This window comes from Homo sapiens, chromosome X, assembly GCF_000001405.40.
Source record: "Homo sapiens chromosome X, GRCh38.p14 Primary Assembly".
Taxonomy (NCBI): Eukaryota; Metazoa; Chordata; class Mammalia; order Primates; family Hominidae; genus Homo; species Homo sapiens.
Window position 1 is genome coordinate 16194537 of NC_000023.11, and position 22256 is coordinate 16216792.

Genomic DNA, 22256 nt, shown 5'->3' on the forward strand with positions numbered 1-22256 from the left:
TGGCTTATTATCTCTGATATGTCATGACCTCATTTGGAAGGATTAGAAGCTCTTCAAGGCCATTAACATTTTAATATTGGATTAGAGCCTTCAAATTAACTCATTTTTTTCTGGTCACTTGGTTTCACCAATATAAATTTGGAGAAAATTACATTATAAACCATGCTTATGAGCTATAACCATAATATTGAGATGCCAAGCCTGCAAGAAAATGGTAACCTATTCAAGCATCCTGGCCAGAAAATATGGTTTGCAGCACCATGGTACGATGGTCATCCAGGTTTGTGTGTGTGTGTGTGTGTGTGTGTGTGTGTGTGTGTTTCTGTAGTCTGGCTTAATTTCCTTTTATAACCAATGTTTCGCAATTTAAAAAATATTTTTGTTCCTGTTGTCTTAGGTCTAAATAGGAGCAAAAACAATCTTTAAAACTTTACTCAATTTTTTTTAGATATCATTTCCCACACTTTCCCTTATATTACATTAATGCCAATGCAAAAGAAACACACTGATTGGAGGGTGGAGTAGTAGGGGGAAGAGGCAAGAACAGAAATCTTATTGGAGTAGCAAGAAGCCTTTTGAGGGACTAAAATGACAACAAAGAGATTATGATTTATAAATTATAATAATACTCATATTTAGCAAACTCAACCATAGTATCAACACGAAACTGAATAAGTTTCATTTTTCCATAGAGGAAAGACTAAGGGCAAAATAAACTACATGCATAATGAAATTTCAAAATGCCTTTATAAGAATGTAAATTTTCCTTTTTTGTCACTATGATGGCCAATTCTGCTCATATTAGAGTGTTCACTCAAGTTTACCATGTAAATCCTTCCTTTGGAGTACATGTGATAGTAAGCAAAGCAGTTTCAGAACATGCTTGATAAGTTCTTACTGTACTGGATAATGTAAGGTCTAGTGATGAAATATTTATTTGGTAGGAACAATTCTTCCTCCATTTGATAAATATGTTCTCCTTTGACTTCTGAGAGTGAATCTATAACACTTTTTTCCTGGGGATTCCTGACTGAGGAAGACAGTGTTGATATGACTGGCTGGGGTGCAAATTTAAAATGGCAAATTTTATTCCACAGGAATCACATCCATGTCCCAGGCTTTCCAGATGGGATAGCCAGCCATGCACAATAGGTCCCAATTTTGGTTACTCTGCTTTGGACATGCTGAGTGAACCCTCACATATCTGGTATAATGCATAAAAGTGAGGCCGCCACTCAGCAGGAGAGAAAAATTGACTTGGCCAATCACTGATTTTAAACAGCTGGGTTAAATATTTATTTGCAAAAATGTCCAAAAGTTGGGTAGGGAACAAAAAACCTTGTATCACAGTACCTCAAAAAAAATCCCTGTATCACAGAACATCCCTCAAACGCAAAAAGAGTGTGACAACTAACTGAGGGAAGGTTCCTCCCTAGGCAGGCCTTCACCATTTATTGTGAAATGATTAAGTTTGATTTTAGAACATGTTTTGCTATTAGCAGATTTTTAAATTGCTTTAATTCTTTGCTTTGATTGTTTTGGTGACAGATTCTCAAGTCATACTTGAAGGAACGTTTGTTGAGGACATTGTGGGACATTGGAGTATAGTGACATGTTATATATTGTCCAAAACCGAGTGGTTTTAAAAGTTTTTAATATTTTTTATACTACACATTGTTCAGCTTACAAATGGAGACATTTGTATCAATTATCTGGGATGCCCAAAGGGAACATTTTGTTAGATGATGCTATGATCTGGATATGGTTTGTCTGTCCCCACAAAATCTCATGTTGAAATTTAGCCCCCAGTTTGGTGGTATTGGGAGGTAGTGCCTCGTGGGAGGCGTTTGGGTCACGAGGTAGATCCCTCATGTATAGATTAATGCCCTCTCTTGGGACTGAGTGATTTCTCACTCCATTAGTTCCTGAAAGACCTGGTTGTTAAAAGAGCCTGGCACCTTTCCCCTCTCTCTCTCTCTTGCTTCCTCTCTCACCATGTGGTCTCTGCACATGCTGGCTCCTCTTTGCCTTTTGCCAAGAATGGAAGCTTCCTGAAGCCCTCAACAGATGGAGATGCTCAATCATGAACTTTCCAACCAGCAGAATTGTGAGCTAGTAAACGTTTTTTTCTTTCTAAATTGCCTAGCCTCAGGTATTCCTTGATAGTAATACAAAATGAACTAAGGGAGATGAGAATGTTACACTAAAGCACAAAGCAGAAATATACTTCCATCCACAGTTTCAAGGGTACACAGACTATCACTTTTATATTTTTTTGTACTTTAACTTAATTTCTGACTCCAAATACCCATTCCAACAGGCTAATGGATTACTAAGCCTCTGTACTTCCTGTGGTGCCCCACCTTCTCCTCAACATTGTATCAGGCTTCTTATGTCTTGGGACAAAATGTTGATTGGAGGCAGGGGTGAGGAGGGCTTAGAATGACCATCTGATTTTCAGTCATGGCCCATGAAGGCTTCTGCTGAGTCATCCTCTATCTCTAACAACATCTCCACTGGGACAAGGACATAGTTTGCTACTTTCAACTGTAAAATGCACCATTGAGCCAATCAGCTTTGGGGGCTTGCCAGCAGAACATCCAGGAAGTTATCCCAAGATCCTTAGGTTCACCTTCTTGTTCCATTTCTCAGGGGAAATTAATTTCTAGTCTGGGAGAGAAGAAAACCTCTCTTCCCTCTGCTTTTTCAAAACTCTGAAAATGGCTGAAAACACACAAAAACTACTTTTTACCTTCTTTGATAACCCACGAGGATATCCTCAGAATATCATGGAGACCCTACAAACTTAGTCTTTTGGATAAAGTCAGAAAAGGGATTACTTCTGTTTTTCAGCCCTTTCCATATATATCATCCCCCAAAAAGAACACACTGCTGTCTGATTGAATAAGCAGAATAGAAGGGAACTTAAAAAGAGAACTTTTATAAGTTAATATGTAGAAATGTTATCTCTCCAAAATTGTGTGGCTTTATTTTTCCTGGTGTAATTTTAAACATCGAGAGGGTAAAAATCATGTTGTCAAGTCTTTGATGCCCTTTATCCACATAGTTAGATCAGTACCTAGAATAGGATACAGTGTCAATAAGTGAAAGGAATAATAAATGAATGTTCTGTCTGTTATGGGAGCTCCAAGCAAAAGGAAATCACGGCAGAATACAATAGATGAAAGATGCTGCAAGGAAACAAAGGATCCTGATATAGACCACAAATGTCTTTGGCAAGTGGAAAGGAGAGGGGGGAAACGACATGAGTAAAGGTGCAAAGGGGATAGGATATGTTGTATTCAGGAGTAAGGAGTTTAGGCTGTCTTGAGAAGAAGATGGGATGGAAGCAATAGGATATGGTAAACTAGCTTAAGTAGTGTTAGGGAAGCTCAAACTTTCCCTCTGAAGGTCTGAACAGACTGACAATAGACAGATTAATAAAAGAAAAAGCATGCTGTAAACCAAAAAATGAAATTCTAAGCCTCCCAACTGACTGAACAGGTCCCCTCTTGGCCAAGGAGACCCCAGAGAAACCTGAAAAGCTGAATTCCCGGCATGACAGGAAGGGAGTTAACTCCCTTTTGCAGTTTAGGCACGATTGACCAGCATTAGGGTTAAAATAGAGATCCCAGGACTGAAAAACCAGATTCTTTGTGGCAATAAAATACTAAATTATAAAGAAGACCTAAGGTCATGCAAAGCAAAGGTCAAGTCACTCTCTACAAACCATAAAACCTTGTTAAACAGGCTTTTTATTCACCAGGTATAATGTGGCTTGATTTCCAAACTGACTCTGGTATAGCATCACATGACAGATAGCAGACCCTGAGGGAAATAAAAATATTTTATATATATATATCTCATTTAATTAAGTTCTCCTTAAGAAATTTAGAACACCAACTTGTGAGGATAAATTCCATTCATCGGGGCAAATACAGATCGCAGGTAGCCCTGGAGCTGAGGAATAGCTTTGATTTTTGGTAAACTTTGTGAGTCCACAGCTTTCTGATTGATCTTGCACTGCTCTGTTATCTCATATTTCTCTTTTTCTGTGTCAAAGATCTCACTTGCCTGGTGTCTGGGCTTCTGCAGCTGCTGCTTCTTGAAGTAAATGCCAGTAAGATGTTTAGGGATTTTTACATTGCTGATATGAATTTTGGTTGAGGTGGCAATGACAAATTTCTGGTGTGTTCTTCGTAGAGGAACTCGATTGAAGACCAGAGGTCCAGTCACAGGTAACAAACCACTACCCAGCTGCTTCAGGAAAACCACCCTCTTGCCTCTGTGGCATCCAGTGAGGATGATTAGAATAGTCCAGGGGGTAATGCTGGCTCGCAGTTTTCTCCCGTGCTGACTGAAGCCGTGGCTCAACAGCTTTCGAGGCACACCTTCAATAGGATAATATCTAGTCATTTTGAGAAGTTTAAGCACCCGGGTACCACCATTCTTGTCACTACCAACTGATTTTGTAACAAGTGCAAGAACCTTCTCCTTTTTCTTTTCAACCTTGGATCCTTGGATTTAGCAGCTGAGTACTTCCGCTTGTACATGGCCTTTCTGCAACACATAGCAGATCGGGAATATCTGCCAATTCCTCTGTCAAGGACAGGATTGCGGCTGCAATGGCACTTCCCCTTCTTGGGCTTTTTAGCCTTGAGGTAACTACCCTTTCACCTTGCCACCAGCATCAGCCTTCTTGGCTTCGGGTTTCTTGTCTTTAGTATCTGGCTTCTCAACTTTTTCACCTGCCATCTTGCAAGATGAGAAATAGCCAAAATATATTTTTTTGACATATTTTGAAAGGACCCTGCAAATCTGTCTTTTGTGGGAGAAATTTGCATCTGTAGAGAATCTCCATCAATGCAGCCAGGTCTTTCCTGGATCTAGGAGAGATGAACTGAGAGTCTGATGCCTTTAAGGACTGGAAAGAAACATTTACCATCTATTCTCTCTAAGGGCTGCTACCTATGAGGCTTTATCTACATAACAAGGGCCTTGCCCCCGAAACTCCCTCATCTTAACTCAAGCATTCCTTTCTACTGACTTCAAGTCTTTAGACAATAGCTTAACTCTCTCAACCAGCTGTCAACTAAGGAATACCTAAAACCTACCTATGACTTAGAGATGTCCTACCTTTTTGGGCCAAATTGATATATACCTTCCATGTAATGATTTATATATTTGCCTGTAACTTCTGCCTCCCTAAAATGTGCAAAACTAAACTGTAACCTGACTGCTGTAGGTGTACTTTCTCAGGACCTCTCGAGACCGTGTTCCCTGGGCCATGGTCACTCATCTTGGCTCAGAATAAACCTGTTTAAAATATTTTGCAGAGTTTGTTTCTTCTGTTAACAATATAAATTTATTAACATACACATGGAAACAGGAGTCCAGCAAATATGAGACAAAAAGGGCCAGATGGTTGAGGCTTAATTATTCTCTTCATAGGGGAGAGTGAAGTGGGGTGCTGTAGGCAGTTTTAAAGAGGTAGTTCATGATTTTTAGCGAAAAAAAATGGGCCTGGGATACAGACATTATCTTTTAAATTATTTTCTTCGGAAACTAAAATGGGAAGCTATGGGAAGGTGATGGGTGGAACTGTACTGTGAACAAAGATTGTCTTCTTATGTAGATAAAGTCTCTCAGGTAATCTCTCAAGACTGCCCTTAGAAGCATAGATGAAAAGTCTATCCAGGTGTGGTGATGACTTTTAGTCTCTTCTCTTCTCCAATGATTAATCATTCCTGGTTATTTGACAAGATTCCCAAGGAATAGGTTCCTAACAGTTGCATTTCTTTTAAAAAATAAGTATCCTTAGTCAGATAAGGAAATACCAGAGTTTCTCCCTGCACTTGGGAGAGGGAGGAGAGCCTTCCAATTTCTTTTAATTCTAAGTGCTCAGCATGCCAAACCACCATGCTTTGGAGGTATTATTCTTTGTGCCCAAACAGTAGTAAGATGATATATTTGAATGTGGTTGAAGAACCATAGTAGAACTTTGGACATTTGATCAATAGATACCCATGACTACCACAGTAGGAGATCTTGCTGTGAAATGTAAACCCCACATATTTGAGGGCTACAAGTAGAACTTTTGGTGAGAAATGATTATTTCTAATTTCTCTTGATATATCTTAGCTCCATAACAGGTTCTAACTTACAATTGAGAAGAGAGGGGATACTCAATAATACTTTGTCAGTTGACTAATTAAGGTGTAAAGGTCTTTAAATTTTGTATGAAAACATGGACTCCAGTCGTAGCTCTGCCACTAACTAGCTACATGATGTTAGGCAAGCCACTTAGTTTTACTTGACCTCAGTTTTCTCAACTGTAAAGTAAAGAGACTGGATTTAAAAATACTCAACCGTCTTTGGGCTCCCAAAGCATATAATTGATTACAGCCCAACTAAGGAATCAAGTTGCAAAAGATTTTCTGGAAGAAATGAATCCTCAGGAGATTTTAAAAAGAAAATAAATATCAACAAGCAAGGATAACAAAAGAATCATTGAATCTTCATTTAATTACAAGGGTAGCACATCAGTGAAATTACATTGTAAGCTACAAATTCTATTTTCAACAAAAGTAGGGAAACACAAAGCCAGATTGATTCCTAATTGGAGAGAAGACCTGTGTGTGTGTGTGTGTGTGTGTGTGTGTGTGTGTGTATCTAAAGGCACTCTCCATTCTTACTTCAGAGCAAAGTAAATATGTCCTCAATGACCTGGATTTTCTACTGTGACCTGTACTCTAAACTGGGAAGTCAACAGGGACTTAGCAAAAGTTTTAATTTAGCTGAAATCATTCAGAACGTTTGAAATCAATTGAAACCTTCTCCCTGGATGTAATTCAGATAATTCTCTGTCCACCATACTTCAGGGTAAGGTAAAGGTGAGGGGAGGTCAAAAAGTCATAGTTTCCAAATTCATCAATAGAACAAATCACTCAAGACATTTGAGTTAATTTTTCTTGTTGTTTAGATTCCTGTCTTTATTGTAGAGTCTAGAACACAGATCATAGACTTATACCCAACCCTAGATTTTTATCTTGTTGTACACTATTTTTTATCAATAATAAGGAAGAAAAGGCTATAAATGGAAGTGGAAGAATTTTGAGCTCATCAGAAGTGGTCCTTGGATTTGTTCCTTCATGTGTAAGATATTCAAAACACTAGAGGATGGGTGTACAATAACTTACAGTGAGCCTGTGTTGACCTTCCATATCTCCCAAAAAGCCTGACATGAAATGATGACCTAGAACATTAAGATTGTCTTTCTCAGGAATTTACCCTGGGAGATATGGAATACATTAGTCATTGAAAGGATGTATATAGGAAATGTCAGATAGTAGGATTCAGGTGATGATGGACCATGGCAAATTAAAATAGCGAGAAAGCAGAAACCGAGTAAGTAAAAGACATGTGTTAAGGAGAAGGCAGAGGAGAATGGAATAGATTTCCAGAGCAACGCAAAAATGCCATGACAAAGGCCCCCTCGGATATGATGAAAGAAGTGAATTCCTAGAATCACCTTTTACCTCCCATTTCAGTTCAAACCACCTGGATCCTAACTATAGATGAGCACTTTCCTTGTGGTAACTTGAGAAAGACCTTACTCTTTGAGGCCAAAAGGCTTAGCTAACATAATGAAGAATGTTTAATGCCCTATGGCATTTATGTCCAACAATTCAATCCCAGAGATAGGATAAACTTATTAACATCTTGTAAACACCAATGGCAATTCAGTCCAACCCCCCCATTTTGCAAATGGGAGAACTGAGGGCAAAACAGCAAAATAATATAACCAGTATCATGCTGGTAATTACTGTCACTTGACTGAGATATAAGTCTTCTTTGGTGGCTGTTTCTAAAATGGCTCCTAGTGATCTCTTCTTCCTACTATTCACGCCTTCCTGTTGTAATCCCCTCTCCTTAAGTGTGGGCTGGACCTAGTCACTTGCTCCTAATGAGTAGAACATGGCAAAAGTGATACGATGTCACTTCAGTGATTAGGTTGCCAAAGACCATGACTTCCATCTTGCTTGCACTCTCTCTTTGGTTCTTCTTGCTTGCTCGCTTTGATGAAGCCAGCTGCCATGTTGTGAGCTGCCCTGTGGAAAAGCTCATGTTGCAAGAAATTGAGGGCTGCCTCTGGTCAACAGCCAGAGAGAAACTGAAGCCCTCAGTCCAACAGCCCGTGAAGAACTGAATATTGTCAACAACCATGTGAGTGAAATTATAAGCCATCAAGCCTTGAGATGACTGCAGTCCCCGTCAGTACCTTGTTTGTGACCCACTGAGAAACCCTTAGTCAGAAGACTCAACTAAGCCTTGCCCGTGTTCCTGACTCACAGACTGTGAGAGAATTAATATTTCTGTAAAAAGCTGCTAAGATTTTGGGATAATCTGTTAGGCAGCAAAAGACAAATAATACACACCCAATGCCTAGACTGGTGCTTTTTGCTCAACAGCGGATTCCTGCAGATTCAGTAGTAGCCATGTTCACCTCTATTTAGTTGGAAGCTGTGCCTGTGATTAACCTTTGATCCCAACACCAGGTGTTTTTCACTGCTCACCTTGGCAAGGAAACAATATTAAAATGACATTGGAGCAAGTAAAGCTTGGATGTGAGATTAAAACAAATAGAAACAAACCGTTGCTATCTCTAAAGTGAATGCCAGTTTCTGTGATCTGGAAGCACAGACATGAATTACCTACAGCTGCCCCTTAAACATTTCATCAGTAAATGCACAGCAACAATCTTGTTCCTGGTGACGTTCCCAGCGAAAACAAACATTTTTGATTGATTTTTTTTCCTCCAATAGAATGAGTTACCCATGTTCTTTGTCAGTGTGGGCAAACATGCGTGCATATGTATATGGGGAAAGTGCACATCTTTCTCACTTGTTCACTATAAAGAGTTATGGAAATCTAAGATTTGCATTCAGTTTTTAAAGACTTTGATAGTCACACAGTATAAATTAAGATAATAAAAATTTCTCACGGAGAATAATTTTATCATTTTTTATTCATCCACTTATTAATTCATTCACTTACTTATTCAACAAATACTTATGATGAATCTACTATGTATCAGGCAATGTTCAAGGTCCAGGAGACCAAACAATGAATAAGATGATAAATTCCCTGACATCAAGGATCTTGTGGTCTAGAGGGGAAAGTAGACAAGAAACAGACTCTTTCTGTTACAAACCTGTAACACATGACCAAAGTAACCATTGAGTCTTTAGATTTCTATAACTTTCCTAAATTTAAACAATCTTACTGAAATTTTACAGACTGTTTTTATCTTTCTAGATGAAATTCTGGATCATACCACATAAGTCATTTTTGTAACCATGTAGCCATTCTGTCAAAACTAGCCTGAGGGGCCCATGTTTGTGGCAGCACTGTTCACAATAGCTAAGATTTGGAAGCAACCTTGTATCCATCAACAGATGAACAGATAAAGAAAATGTGGTACATATACACAATGGAGTACTATTCAGCCATAAAAAAGAATGAGATCCTGTTAATTGCAACAACATGGATGGAACTGGACATCATCATGTTAAGTGAAATAAGTCAGGCACAGAAAGACAAACATCACATGTTATCACTTATTTGTGAGATGTAAAAATCAAAACAATTGAACCCATGGAGATAGAGAGTAGAAGGCTAGCTACCAGAAGCTGGGCAGGGTAATGGGGGACTGGCAGGGGGAGGTGGGGACAGTTAATGAGTACAAAAAAAAGAATGAATAAGACCTAATATTTGATAGCACAACAGGGTGACTATAGTCAATAGTAACTTAATTGTACATTAAAAAATAACTGAAAGAGTGTAACTGGGTTGTTTGTAACACAAAGGATAAATGCTTGAGAAAGATGGATACTCCATTCTCCATGATGTGATTATGTCACATTGTATGCCTGTATCAAAACATTTCATGTGCCCCATAAATATATACACTTACTATGTACCCACAAAAATTAAAAATAAAAACGAAAACTAGACTGAAGGGTATGTGGTGCCACCCACTTGAATCTTATCAGTCCTCTTGCTCCATTTCTGGATATTCTTAACAGAAGGCTAATCTCTAGGCTCCTACCCTTAGACACTAGATCAAAGAGACCTTTCTTGGCCCCCAAGTGACTGTGCCATCTACTCACATGTTGGCTCTGCTTTAGTAAAGAACAAATTTGTTTCACCTGACTCTGTTTATTCCAAAAGATCTTTTGAAGTCATGAGTTCTGGCACAAGTTCAACCAAGGCCTATTCAGATCAAGGTCAATACTTTTGTACGTCTGCCATGCTCTTAGCATCTGCTCCAGTGAGGAGAAACAAGGCGGAAAAGCCCATGTGAGAGCAATTATAAGATGTAAATTTCCACCTTATATTGAAGTACTGGTCCACACATAAGTAATTATAAAATTCCTTTTAGCTCCAGAGAAATGTCATAAAAAGTAGCATTTAAATAGATGCAGTGAAAAACAAAAGTACTAGTGAGCAAGGCCATTCAAGTCAGCTCCTGGAAGGTTTAAACTTCTTATCAGCAACAGAATTATGTATGTGTGTCATAGAATGGCTCTTGGGTTTCTCTGTGTCTTTAACATAATTGGTTTCCACAATGTATAAACTTGCTATTGAATGTTAATATCCAACACTCCACAGGACACTGCTATTTTATTGTGGACCCTCAGTTTCTCTGGGTAGACTAAGTCCAGGTACCTTCTGGAGAGCCAACTTCTAGGTCGTTAAGGACATCTGGGGTCTCATTGTTCTCAACTTGATAAGGGTCATTGATGGGACTGATATCAATGCACAAAGAAGGTAGAGAAGGGACCAAATCCTCTCCGATTTCTGAGGCCAGACCCTGGTCCCAGCATCAGGTGAGGGCTAGTTATGAAATGGTTTCTGAAAACAAAACAATCCATCACAAATACAAAATTCTTTGATCTGCTTTGTTCTATCCCAAAATTTCATCAAAATTTTGCATGCTGCTCAATAACATCCATACCAGAAACTGTCCAAATCTTAAGTCTACAACACAATAAACTGTCACAAACTGGAAGCAACCACGCGATCAGCTCCCAGAACATTACCAGCAGGCCCAAAAGCCCCATTGTGTCCTCTTCCAGTCACTGTCTACTACTCCATCCCCACCCCAAGGGTAATCATTATCTTGACTTCTAAGAGCATGGATTTGTTTTGCCTATTTTTGAACCAAATGGAATCATACTCAACAAACTCTTGTATCTGGCTTGTGTCATTCTACATCATGACTATAAGTTTCATCTGTGTTGTAGTATGTAAGAGTAATAATAGTATTCTGTTGGGTAAACATGTACCAATTCTTTCCTCTGTTAATGAACATTTGAATTTCATTCAGTTTGTGCTTATTACTAATATTGCAACTATGAACATTCTTCTGTGCCTTTTGCTGAGCCAATTTCTGTTGGAAATATATCAAGGATTGAAATTTCGTAAGACAGGCAAATAATCGCTTTTATAATACTGCCAAACCGTTTTCCAAAGTGGTTTTGTCAATTTGCATTCCCACCAGCAGTGTATGAGAGTTCCAGTTGCACTAAATCCTTGCCAACATTTGTTATGTTCTGTCTTTTAAAATTTTTAGCCAATGTGATGTGCATATAGTAGTCTATGATTATTTTAATATGAAAGTAATGACTCTCCCCCAACCTTTGAATGAAATTGAACCCTCCGGCAACATGCCACATTTATACTCTTCATTTCTGTATTTCCTGACATGACATCCTGTATGTGTCTTTCTCCCTGTGTGAGACTGAAGCATGTTGAGTGGCAAGCATAAGTTTTGGGGTCCAGCAGAGTTTTCAAACTCTGTCACTCATGCTGTGACACCAAGGTCAACTTACTTCAACTGTTTTATCCTGAATTCCTGTCATCTAAAAATGTAACAAAAATACATTGTTTGCAAGATTGTCAAAGGAGTTCAAGTGAGATAATGTAGATAAAACACCTGGTCTGTAATAGTTGCACAATCAATGTCTTTCTTTTTTTCCATTTGGAGAGAATGAGAAACTCAATGGACTTCAGATAAATCCCCAGTTGTTCTCTGGAGCACCTTGATTCTAAGGAAATAGTACAATTTTTTGTTTCCAACATACCTTCTTCAGGAATGAGCTCCTGGCTTCTGCCTCTCCATTTTGGCACTTGTTATCTCAAAACACTCTGATACAATTGGCCCTTGAACAACATGGTAGTTAGGGATCTCAACCCCTATGCAGCTGAAGATCCACGTATAAATTTGACTCCCAAAACGTAACTGCTAATGAACAATTTGCAATTGCAAAATCCTGGAACCAACCCAAATGCCCATCAATCAATGAGTGGATAAAGAAACTGTGGTATATTTATATGATGGAATGCTACTCAGCCATAAAAAGGAAGGAAATAATGGTATTTGCAGTGACCTGGATGAGATTGGAGACTATTATTCTAAGTGAAGTAACTCAGGAATGGAAAACCAAACATCACATGTTCTCACTGATATGTGGGAGCTAAGCTATGAGGATGCAAAGGCATAAGAATGATACAATGGACTTTGGGGACTTGGGGGGAAGAGTGGGAAAGGGGGCAAGAGATAAAAGACTAAAAATATGGTACAGTGTATACTGCTCTGGTGGTGGGTGCACCAAAATCTCACAAATCACTACTAAAGAACTTACTCATGTAACCAAACACTACCTGTATGCCAATAACTTATGGAAAAATTTTAAAAAGTAAAAAAAAACATACTTAACTGCTAGTGGCCTACTATTGACTGGAAGCCTTACTGATAACATAAGCAGTATTAACATGTATTTTGTATGTTATACATATTAGATGCTGTATTCTTACAATAAAATAAGCTAGAGAAAAGAAAATATTATTAATAAAATCATAAGAAAGAGAAAATATGCATTATTTACTATTCATTAAGTGGAAGTGGAGCATCATAAATGTCTTTGTCCTCATGTTAACATGTCTTCATGTTAAGTGGCTGAGGAGGAGGAGAAAAAGGAGCGGTTGGTCTTGCGTCTCAGGAGTGACAGAGGTGGAAGAGGTGGAGAAGGTGAAAGGGGAGGCAGGAGAGGCAGGGCACACTGGTAACTTCTATTGAAAAAATCTTCTTATAAGTGGATTCATGCAGTTCAAACCTGTGTTGTTCAAGGATCAATTGTATTTGAACACTGCAGTACCAATGATGCTTCACAGTGCATTTGTGCATGGTCCAAAGTGGAGGCAAAACTGGAAAAGTGCCAGCAAGCTGTTCCTTACAGCCTCTGATGGCCTTATAACCTCTGTCTGGCTTCTTATCCTCTAAGACTTTGCCCTCCACACTTTATCTGATTTACAGCTGCTTGACAACAACCAAACTAAAAGGTTAACTCCATAACCGTACTTGGCCTCCTGAGTCTTCACAGGTATTTTAAAAAATCATCATAGGTAATTATCCATCCTCTAAATAGAAAATCAAGATAATTCATGTTCATGCCTCTCATCATCTTTCAGCAGACATTCAGATACCAGGTAAAAGTGGTCAATTTTGAGTTGTATGTGTCAAAGTAAATTGACAGTCTACTTAAGGGCTGGCTTTCTTCTCTGATAGATATTGCTATTCTCTGCTACTGAGAATTCACCCCGGGTAGATTTTGTAATCATTATTGTTTCTTTTCTTCTTTTTTCTTCAGCAATTCTTCTATTCACTGAGTACATTCTATGTAATAGACATTGTGTGAGGTATTTGACAGTTAGAAGATCTGGACTTTTCCAGGCTTTGCCACTAATTAACACTGAATCTAAGATGTCATCAATTATAAGATGTACCATTATTTATGTAACACTAAGAAACAAAAAGTACTTAAGTTATAATACTTCTTAATTACTTATAAATTTTATTGTATAGCTTTTAAAAGAAGTTTTTTAGACTTATTTAAGCACAGATTTTAATCATATTTCACTATTATGCATATATCTAAAAGGGAAATATGAATGGAATAAACTGATTTAATTCCTAAGGATTTTTCAAATTTATTGTCTAACTCTTTTGAATCATTTTTCGTTACAAAATTTCCATGTCCATGTTTTGGTTTTACGTCTGTGTCATACCATAGAGTACATATGATCTTGTCCTCTATGTTTTCGAGAGCTCTGGTAACACAGCATTTCTTAAGATGGTGCTCCACTATTGTTCCTGCAATTTCCTTGCAAGCTGCTGACACTCATTCTGCAAGTGCTGATATTGGCACATTCTTGCCTGATGAGGTGTAGGTAAAGCTTTTGGATGAACACGAATGGCAAAATCCAGCAGAGTTTCATCTACCTGTGGATATCTTCCTTTCCTAGATAACCATAAAGCAGTTGCTTGTTGCATTGAAAGAAAATGTAAAATTGTCATCATTCCTTCCATGACAGATATTTGTTTCATTAATATCAAATTTACACCCTGCTGCTCTGTTTCTCCGCTTCTCTGTATTCACATTATCTTAATGTTTTAATACCAAATCATGGAATAATCCATTAAAGATACTTCAAGTGCTAGTTAAATTTAAACTTAAATACCAGTTATATTTATTACTACATTGCTATGTGAACAAATAACACTACATATAAGTCTATTGAAATGGTAATATGAACACTGTGTGGTCAAGCTGGTGCCCATCCATGTGATAACTACGTGACAGTGCCCACCTGGCTGCCAATGATAGTAAGACACCACCAGCCATTAGAAACATCTTGATTTCAGAATGTTAATATAGGGAAGTGGGAATATATCTTGGAATTGATGAAATATGTAGATTTTAAATAAAGTCAAGAATGTGTTTAGATTTGTTCACTTAAGCATCAGTTCCAATGTTTCCCCTTTTCTCTATGTGGGATCATTAGTAGTTGCAAAGTGAGCTTGAGAAGGAAATCCAGGGATTCTACCCACACTTTTGCATAATTTAAATAAAAATACTCAGTGTGATTGTGTTTCTTTCTGCTGATGTTAAGAACACAGCCTATGTAAAGCAGCAAGGTTTTAAGTCTAGTTCAGTCCCAGACATGGTTTAGGGAGCTTGATTTGAAGACAGACATCTCATTTCAGGACTCTTTTTTTCCTGGTTCTCTTCGTCTATTACAAAAGCACATCAAGGAAGCCTTTCTCTCAGAGAAAATCTGAATATTCACTAATAACACCTGAAATGGGGCCAGGCGCGGTGGCTCACGCCTGTAATCCCAGCACTTTGGGAGGCCCAGGTGGGTAGATCACGAGGTCAGGAGATCGAGACCATCCTGCCTGACACGGTGAAACTCTGTCTCTACTAAAAAGTACAAAAAAAAATTAGCCGGGCGTGGTGGCGGGCGCCTGTAGTCCCAGCTACTCAGGAGGCTGAGGCAGGAGAATGGCGTGAACCTGGGAGGTGGAGCTTGCAGTGAGCCGAGATCGCGCCACTGCACTCCAGCCTGGGCAACAGTGCAAGACTCCGTCTCAAAATAAATAAATAAATAAATAACACCTGAAATGACTCAAAATGATTCTCTTTCTAGGATTATGTGCATTTTAATAGGGAACTCTGAAAGATAGAAAGAAGCCTTCAGAACCCAGAAGAGTTAGTCTCCCAAAGAGGATATGTGTGGGGTGATATTTTGGTTGAGAGAGATTTCCTAGTGCACCTCCTTTTTCTGCCTACTCGTGAAGATGGCTCAGCTTCCTAACAGACATGTGGGTGTAAGCCACAGATTTCCTCAGTGAATTGTCTCACCAGGGCCAGTCCCTGGGACTGGAGATTTGCTGAAAAGCTTCTTATTTTGAGATTAAAAAGAATGAAAGATATTTTTTGGAAGGCCAAGAATATCACGATCATGCCAGATATCCAAATTTCCCTAGCATTACTTTCTCATCTTTCAAATAATACGGTTAGATAGAGTAATCTCTAACATCCCTCCCTGCTCTCCCATTTTATCATTCTGTGTCATGATCCAGTGAAAAGAAAACTGGGAGAGAAGAGAGGATGACTGATTCCTGGTCCCAAATATGCCATCACTTAGTTATTTAACCTAGTACAGGTCACTTAGCCTCTCTAAACCTCAATGGCAAAAGGAGAAAGTTGAAGAAAACTTTGTCTAAAATTCTATCAAGGTCTACATTCTGTCCAAAGCTTCCACTTGTAAGGGATCATGTCATTTCTACTCTTTGGAAACCCTCATTCAGAGATACATATCAAATGTTATTTTAGCTCAGAAAAAGAGAACTTAGAAAGAGAGTAAACAAAATCAAATGGAAACCAATTTTGGATTCTTTAGATGAGTATTACAGTAAAGAAAGGGGAAACTTTAAAAGTATAAAATATAGAGAGGTTGTGGACCTAAAAGAATATCAACATAATGTACTATTTTATTTTGAAAGCCCTTTAATGAACATCCTTGGAAGGAAAATAAATAACTATGCCATTGAGAAAGGTAGAGTTTACAGTGTGTTTAATCAGAAAAGCCTGCTACGAAAAGCTAAATCAAAACCCCTGCATGACAGAGTGTTGATGACTTGCAAGGAGTGGCTACTGTTAGTAGCAGCAGCACCATGAAGTCCAAAGTGACAACAGATAAAGTGTAGCTCATTTGGAGTATGGGGTTTTGGGGCAGAACATAGAGATGATAAGCTCCATAAACATAGCTCTGGTCAATAAATTAGGGGGAAGCTCTACTATATGCATCATGAAAACCAGTGAAAAGCTCTCGAGTATATTGTTAGCAATGGAAAACATTTGTGGCCAAACCAACAATCATATTTAGGATACGATGCCAGAATTTCTGCCAGGCATCTTTGAAAGGGAATGTCTTTTTAAATAACATAATTTCAATTGACTGAAGAATGTGTTAATTCCTGCTGATGGTTCTTTGTGGTGTAATGAAAGTAATATCAGCATAATAATTAAGAAAGGACAGAATTCTTCACTGGTAGTCAATTATATGTGAGGGTGTGATGTTGTGCTGTGACCTCAAACAGGAGAAAAAGATTAGAACATAAAATTAACGTATGATAGTTGCAACCCTACAAGTAGGGGCCATGTTTGGATTATCTGTTTTCTCTCTTCACCCATAAATTCACCCTTTGAGCAATAAATAGCCAGCTCACATACAAGGCAATCTTCTGATTAGTTTTCACCTTGTTCCCCCAAAGCCACATAAAAAAGGTACCACTTTAGATGATGAAGCCAGACCTAATGGCCTAGCTGCATCATATAAAGGTTCCACACTGAATGAGCTGTGTGGATTCCAAAAGCTTAAAAAGCAATTCCTGGGTTTGAGTTTTCCATTAAAAGAGTTTTTTTTTTTTTTCTTTAAAAGAGCCAATTTGAAATCTACTAAGATTCTTCATGATGTTATTCCTGTTCTGCTGTGTACCTGAAGTGGTGACTCAATTTGTAGCCCATTAGACAACATGTGGGCTAAACCTTCAGAAAAATCAGAAAATGGACCCAGAGTCTGTATAACAATTCAATTAAAACTATATATTGATCTCATCTTATAATCTAGGCACTGGCACAAGGGATATGGAGGAAAATCGATGTATTAGTTATTTTTTTCTGTATGACAAATAGCTTCAAATATCTCAAGAACTTGCTGCAATGAATATTTGTTTGATACTCATGAGTCATAAGTTGGCTGTCATTTCAACGATCTCAGCCAGCCTAGGCCTAACACTACCTATGGTTCATGTCTGCTCCACATTGTAGAACTCAATCTGAAGATGCAGTGGCTCTTTGGGCCATGCTGTTTTCATGGATGGTAGGAGCTCAAAAGAGCTGGTGGAAACTTGCAATACATGTCAGTCATGAATTTATTGCCTCTCAACTCCAAATTCACCCTTCAGTACCTGCTCTGCAACAATAGCCTAGACTCTTAAATCATTTGTCCTTTATAGTAAACATGTCCTTTACAGTCAGCTTTGTCAGTAGAGGGACATTACAGGAGGAAGGGGCCTTCTTTTCCTGGTTCCATTGTGCTGATTTTTGCTTTTTCTTGCTTCTGCTGCATGGTGCATGTGTATAGGGACATCTAGTGGTGCTCTGTCCCAGCTATGTGCTGAGAGTGTACCAAAACTCAGTAATCCCACAGCCTGGCCCAGATCCAGTGATCTCCATGACATGGCCCTCCTAAGGTGGACACTGGTGAACTCCAGGCCTCATGCTGGCAGTGATACCCCAGCTCTCTCTGCACACCCACCCAAGTGCCTTGGCTCACTGGTGCCCCAGTGATTAGTTTCTACAGCCCTCCCACAAAGGCACCATGTATCAAGGGCTGTGTACCACCCTGCCAGTGAGTGGACTGCAGATACCCTGACTCCCTCTATGCCCCAGCCTATCAGCCTCTGTGGCTGTGTGACTGTGGCCCAGCTCTGGTCAGGGCAACCCAGCAAACTTCTTCATTATCCAGTAGGCTGTGGCCACATCCTCTGCAATGAGGTCTAAACGCATCCTTGGGGAACAGGCCCTCTTCTAAGTTTTTCCTCCTTGATTCCTCTCTCTTCCTCCCCACTCCTCTTTGTCTCTCTCTCTAAGTTATCCCTTAGAGTTACTTTTATGTCTTTATATTAAACTTCTGCACCACAAACCTTACCCTGTTTACCATGCTTTTCCTGGCCACCTCCTCGTTACTGGCCTCCCAACACGCTTCTTTCTTGATTTCAGTTAAAGATGATATTTAAGTCTGAAATCAAAGCCATCTCTTAAAGAGTTACTCATTTCCCTTGAGTATCTCCCATGTATACATGAGGTATACATGCTATTAAACTTCTGTTGGATTTTCTCTTGTTAATCTGTCTTTTGTTAAAGACATCCATCTCAATTAAGAACTCAGAAGGATAGAGGAGAAAATTATTTTTTCCTCCCCTCCACAAACATATGAGAAGTGAACCTCCAGCATTAGATTTTCAAAAATGAATAAGACATTATCATATGCCTCAAAGAGCTTCAAGTCTCATAGAGAAAACCTGCATATAAATGCATAATTTATAGGCCCAAAATTATAAAGTGAAACGCTGGACGTGTAAGTATAGAGTTAACAACAACAAAAAAGTATCAAGAAAATTGTGGAGGGAGGAACATCTGATCTGATCACGAGTCAAGAAGACCCATGGTGAATAGCAAGGTTGTGCGCAGAGTTAGACTTAAGGGGGAAGGGATGAAAGAGGCAGAAGGAATACAAACCATAGGAAGGCCAGAAAGAGTCATATCATGAGCTGACATTTGTATAGCATTTCCCACATTTCAAATTATAATCACACCCCACTATCCTATTTGATTTTTAATGAACTCATTGAAGTTAAACTATAGTGCCAATGCACAGAAATGTTTCCCAGCTGATGGGAAACATCTTGAAATGAATCCAAGCTTAGATTATTTCTGCTCAATGTAGAGCAAGAGTTGAAAACTGTTTTTATGTGAGAAAAAGACTATATATTAGCCCCAAGTGGGAATTGAGAAGAAAAATGTTCTATCCATTCAAATTGTTTCTAAACATAAATCAAATGTGACATTGGCCCCTGAGATATTATGAGCAGCATGGTATCATCCTTGTTTCTAACCAGAGAAATGTTATTGTTTTAAAATTCTGCCAAAATTCCCCAGGGAGCAATATTTCCTTCGTTTGTGCTTTTATTTCTCCCTCTCTGGAAGAAGCTACAATAACATTGTCTTACAGTCTTGTTTCCACATACACACGTGCATATATTCTCCTCATTCTCCAAAAATGGAACCCATATTTCAAGGGTCAGTCAAGGCCCACTCCTCTGCTTCATTTCATCCTTTTTCAGAACTCCCACTTCTCATACCCTGCTCCCATAGCTGGCTGTGAACCATAAAAAATTTTTTTCTGGGCCCCACTTGAATTTCACAATCTCTGGGGCTGGGTCTGCATGTTAGTTTCCCATATGATTTTAATGTGGCCCAGCATCCATCAGCTGGGAACCATCAATTAATAAACATCACATGATTAATACTGTACTTAATTGTCTGATTTATATGTTACTGTATGTTCTATATCAGTGCTTCTCAACCTTTAAAGTCCATATGAATCAGGGAAACATCTTGTTAAAATGCATATTCTGGGTCAGCAGATCTGGGATGGGGCCTTAGATTCTGCATTTCTTTTTCTTTTCTTTTTTTTTTTTTTTGAGACAGGGTCTCACTTTCTTGCCTAGACTAGAGTGCAGTGGTGCGATCTCAGCTCACTGCAACCTCCACTTCCCAGGCTCAAGCCATTCTCCTGTCTCAGCCTCCCAAGTCGCTGGAATTACAGGCGTGCAACACCATGCCTGGCTAATTTTTGTATTTTTAGTAGAGACGGGGTTTCACCATGTTGGCCAGGCTGGTCTCGAACTCCTGACCTCAAATGATTCACCTGCCTTGGCTTCCTAAAGTGCTGGGATTACAGGCGTGAGCCACCACGCCCGGCCTAATTTTAATTCTTATAACAACCTTAGGAGATAGTATGATTATTTGAGGAAACTAGAGAGGTTAGAAAAGTTACACAAGGTCATACAGCTACTAGCTGGCAGAACTGGGTCTAGAACCCAGATCTAGGAGGAAGAAGGAGGAGAGTAAATACCACTCTCCCAGCACTCTTTCCATTGATTTACCTTCTAGTTCTCTTATCCTACCATAAATCATTTCACCAAAGAGTTATTTCTCCCTTTCATGTATTCCCTGCCCCTGTCCTATTCTTAGATATACTTAAAAGAGAGCCAAGAGTCCCCAACACTGAGAATCACCTTAGCTCATCCCATACTCCAGCCTTCTTTTTTATCTTTTAGTGCAGCCAGCCCCACCCTGCAGTTTAGGCTGCTCTCATAGAGATGGCATAAGGATAATTTTGATTTGATAAGACAGATTAAAGGATAATGTTCAAAAAAGGTAAAATCATCACTCTTATGCAAGTATAAAATGATTACATCACATATTTTTATTTAACCCATCAATTAACAGGGACCTGGAAAAGACGTTACAACCAGTTCATAGAAGAAGGCAAAGAACCATAAATGTATGTACAGTTGTTGAAATAAGTTTGCAAAAAAGTGGTCTAACCATTGGGCAGTAATGAATTGCATTTCACTAGACACAGCTAATTTGCATTTCTATGTAATGTAATAAGTATTTACATTGCCATCAGTTTTCCACCAGTTAACATCTATCTCTTCAGAGTCATATAATAGCCTAGACAAAGGCAAAGGCGCACACCCTTGTGGCAAGAGATAATCCCCAGAGGTTCCAGCATTTCATTAAAAAAATACTCAGTAGTTTCTTTTGTCCTATAGGAACCAAGAAAGGAAACATCCTCTTTGCCCTCTAAAGGTTCAACTGAATAGCAACTGACAAAAGGCAGATTAACAGGAGAAAAGGCATGCAAATTTATTAACCTGTATGGGAGAGAATCACAGAGTGATTACTCCACCCCCCAATGGGATATAGAACCTTATATACCCTTTTTCTGTAGAGGAGGGAGGAGATGGGAAATGTAGACAATTATTTTGAGGGACAATAAGAGATTATTAGGAAGAATGAATGAACCAGAGATAAATTAACTTATATGTGAATCTCTTTGGAATTTTAATGAACCCAAGAGGCAGGTATTATCTCATGGAAAAGTTCATCCAGGTGTGGCTGCATTCTTCCGTCTTCTTTTCTGCAATAGATAAGGTAACTGGGAGGGGATAGAAGACAGTTGTGTTTCTTTTGATAATAAATTTTCTTGGTCAGATAAGGAACTTCCAGAGAGAGTTCTTCCCTACACTGGGTGGGAGAGGAACAAGGTTAGAGGGACCTTGATTCTGAGGCTTATTTCTGAGGCCTTTCAATTTTCAAAAGCATTTAGCATGCCCGAGTGCCATGTCTTAGTCCATTTGTGTTGCTATAAAGGAAAACCTGAGGCTGAGTAATTTATAAAGACAAGAAGTTTATTTGGCTCATGGTTCTCCTGGCTGAAAGATTGGGCATCTGGTGAAAGCCTCAGACTGCTTTCACTCAAGGCAGAAGGCAAACGGGAGCCAGTGTGTGCAGAGATCACATAGTGAGTGAGGAAGCAAAAAGACACGGGGAGGGAGGGGTGCCTCACTCTTTTTAACAAGTTCTTGCAGGAACTAATAGAGTGAAAACTCACTCATTACTGTGAGGGTGGCGCCCAGACATTCATGACAGATATGCCACCATGACCCAGTAATCTCTCATTAGGTTCAACTTCCAACATTGGGAATC

At 39.0% G+C, this 22256-nt stretch overlaps 1 pseudogene, besides 1 other annotated feature; it reads right to left on the minus strand.

Moving 5' to 3' along the window:
- Positions 3866-4774, minus strand: RPL6P30 (ribosomal protein L6 pseudogene 30; annotated as a pseudogene).
- Positions 20975-21795: an enhancer, noted in NCBI's record as "OCT4-NANOG-H3K27ac hESC enhancer chrX:16233634-16234454 (GRCh37/hg19 assembly coordinates)". NCBI's record gives its function as "activates a minimal SCP1, AML or CMV promoter by ChIP-STARR-seq in naive and primed H9 embryonic stem cells {active_cell/tissue: H9 hESC(naive and primed)}" and the evidence as "EXISTENCE:reporter gene assay evidence [ECO:0000049][PMID:30033119]".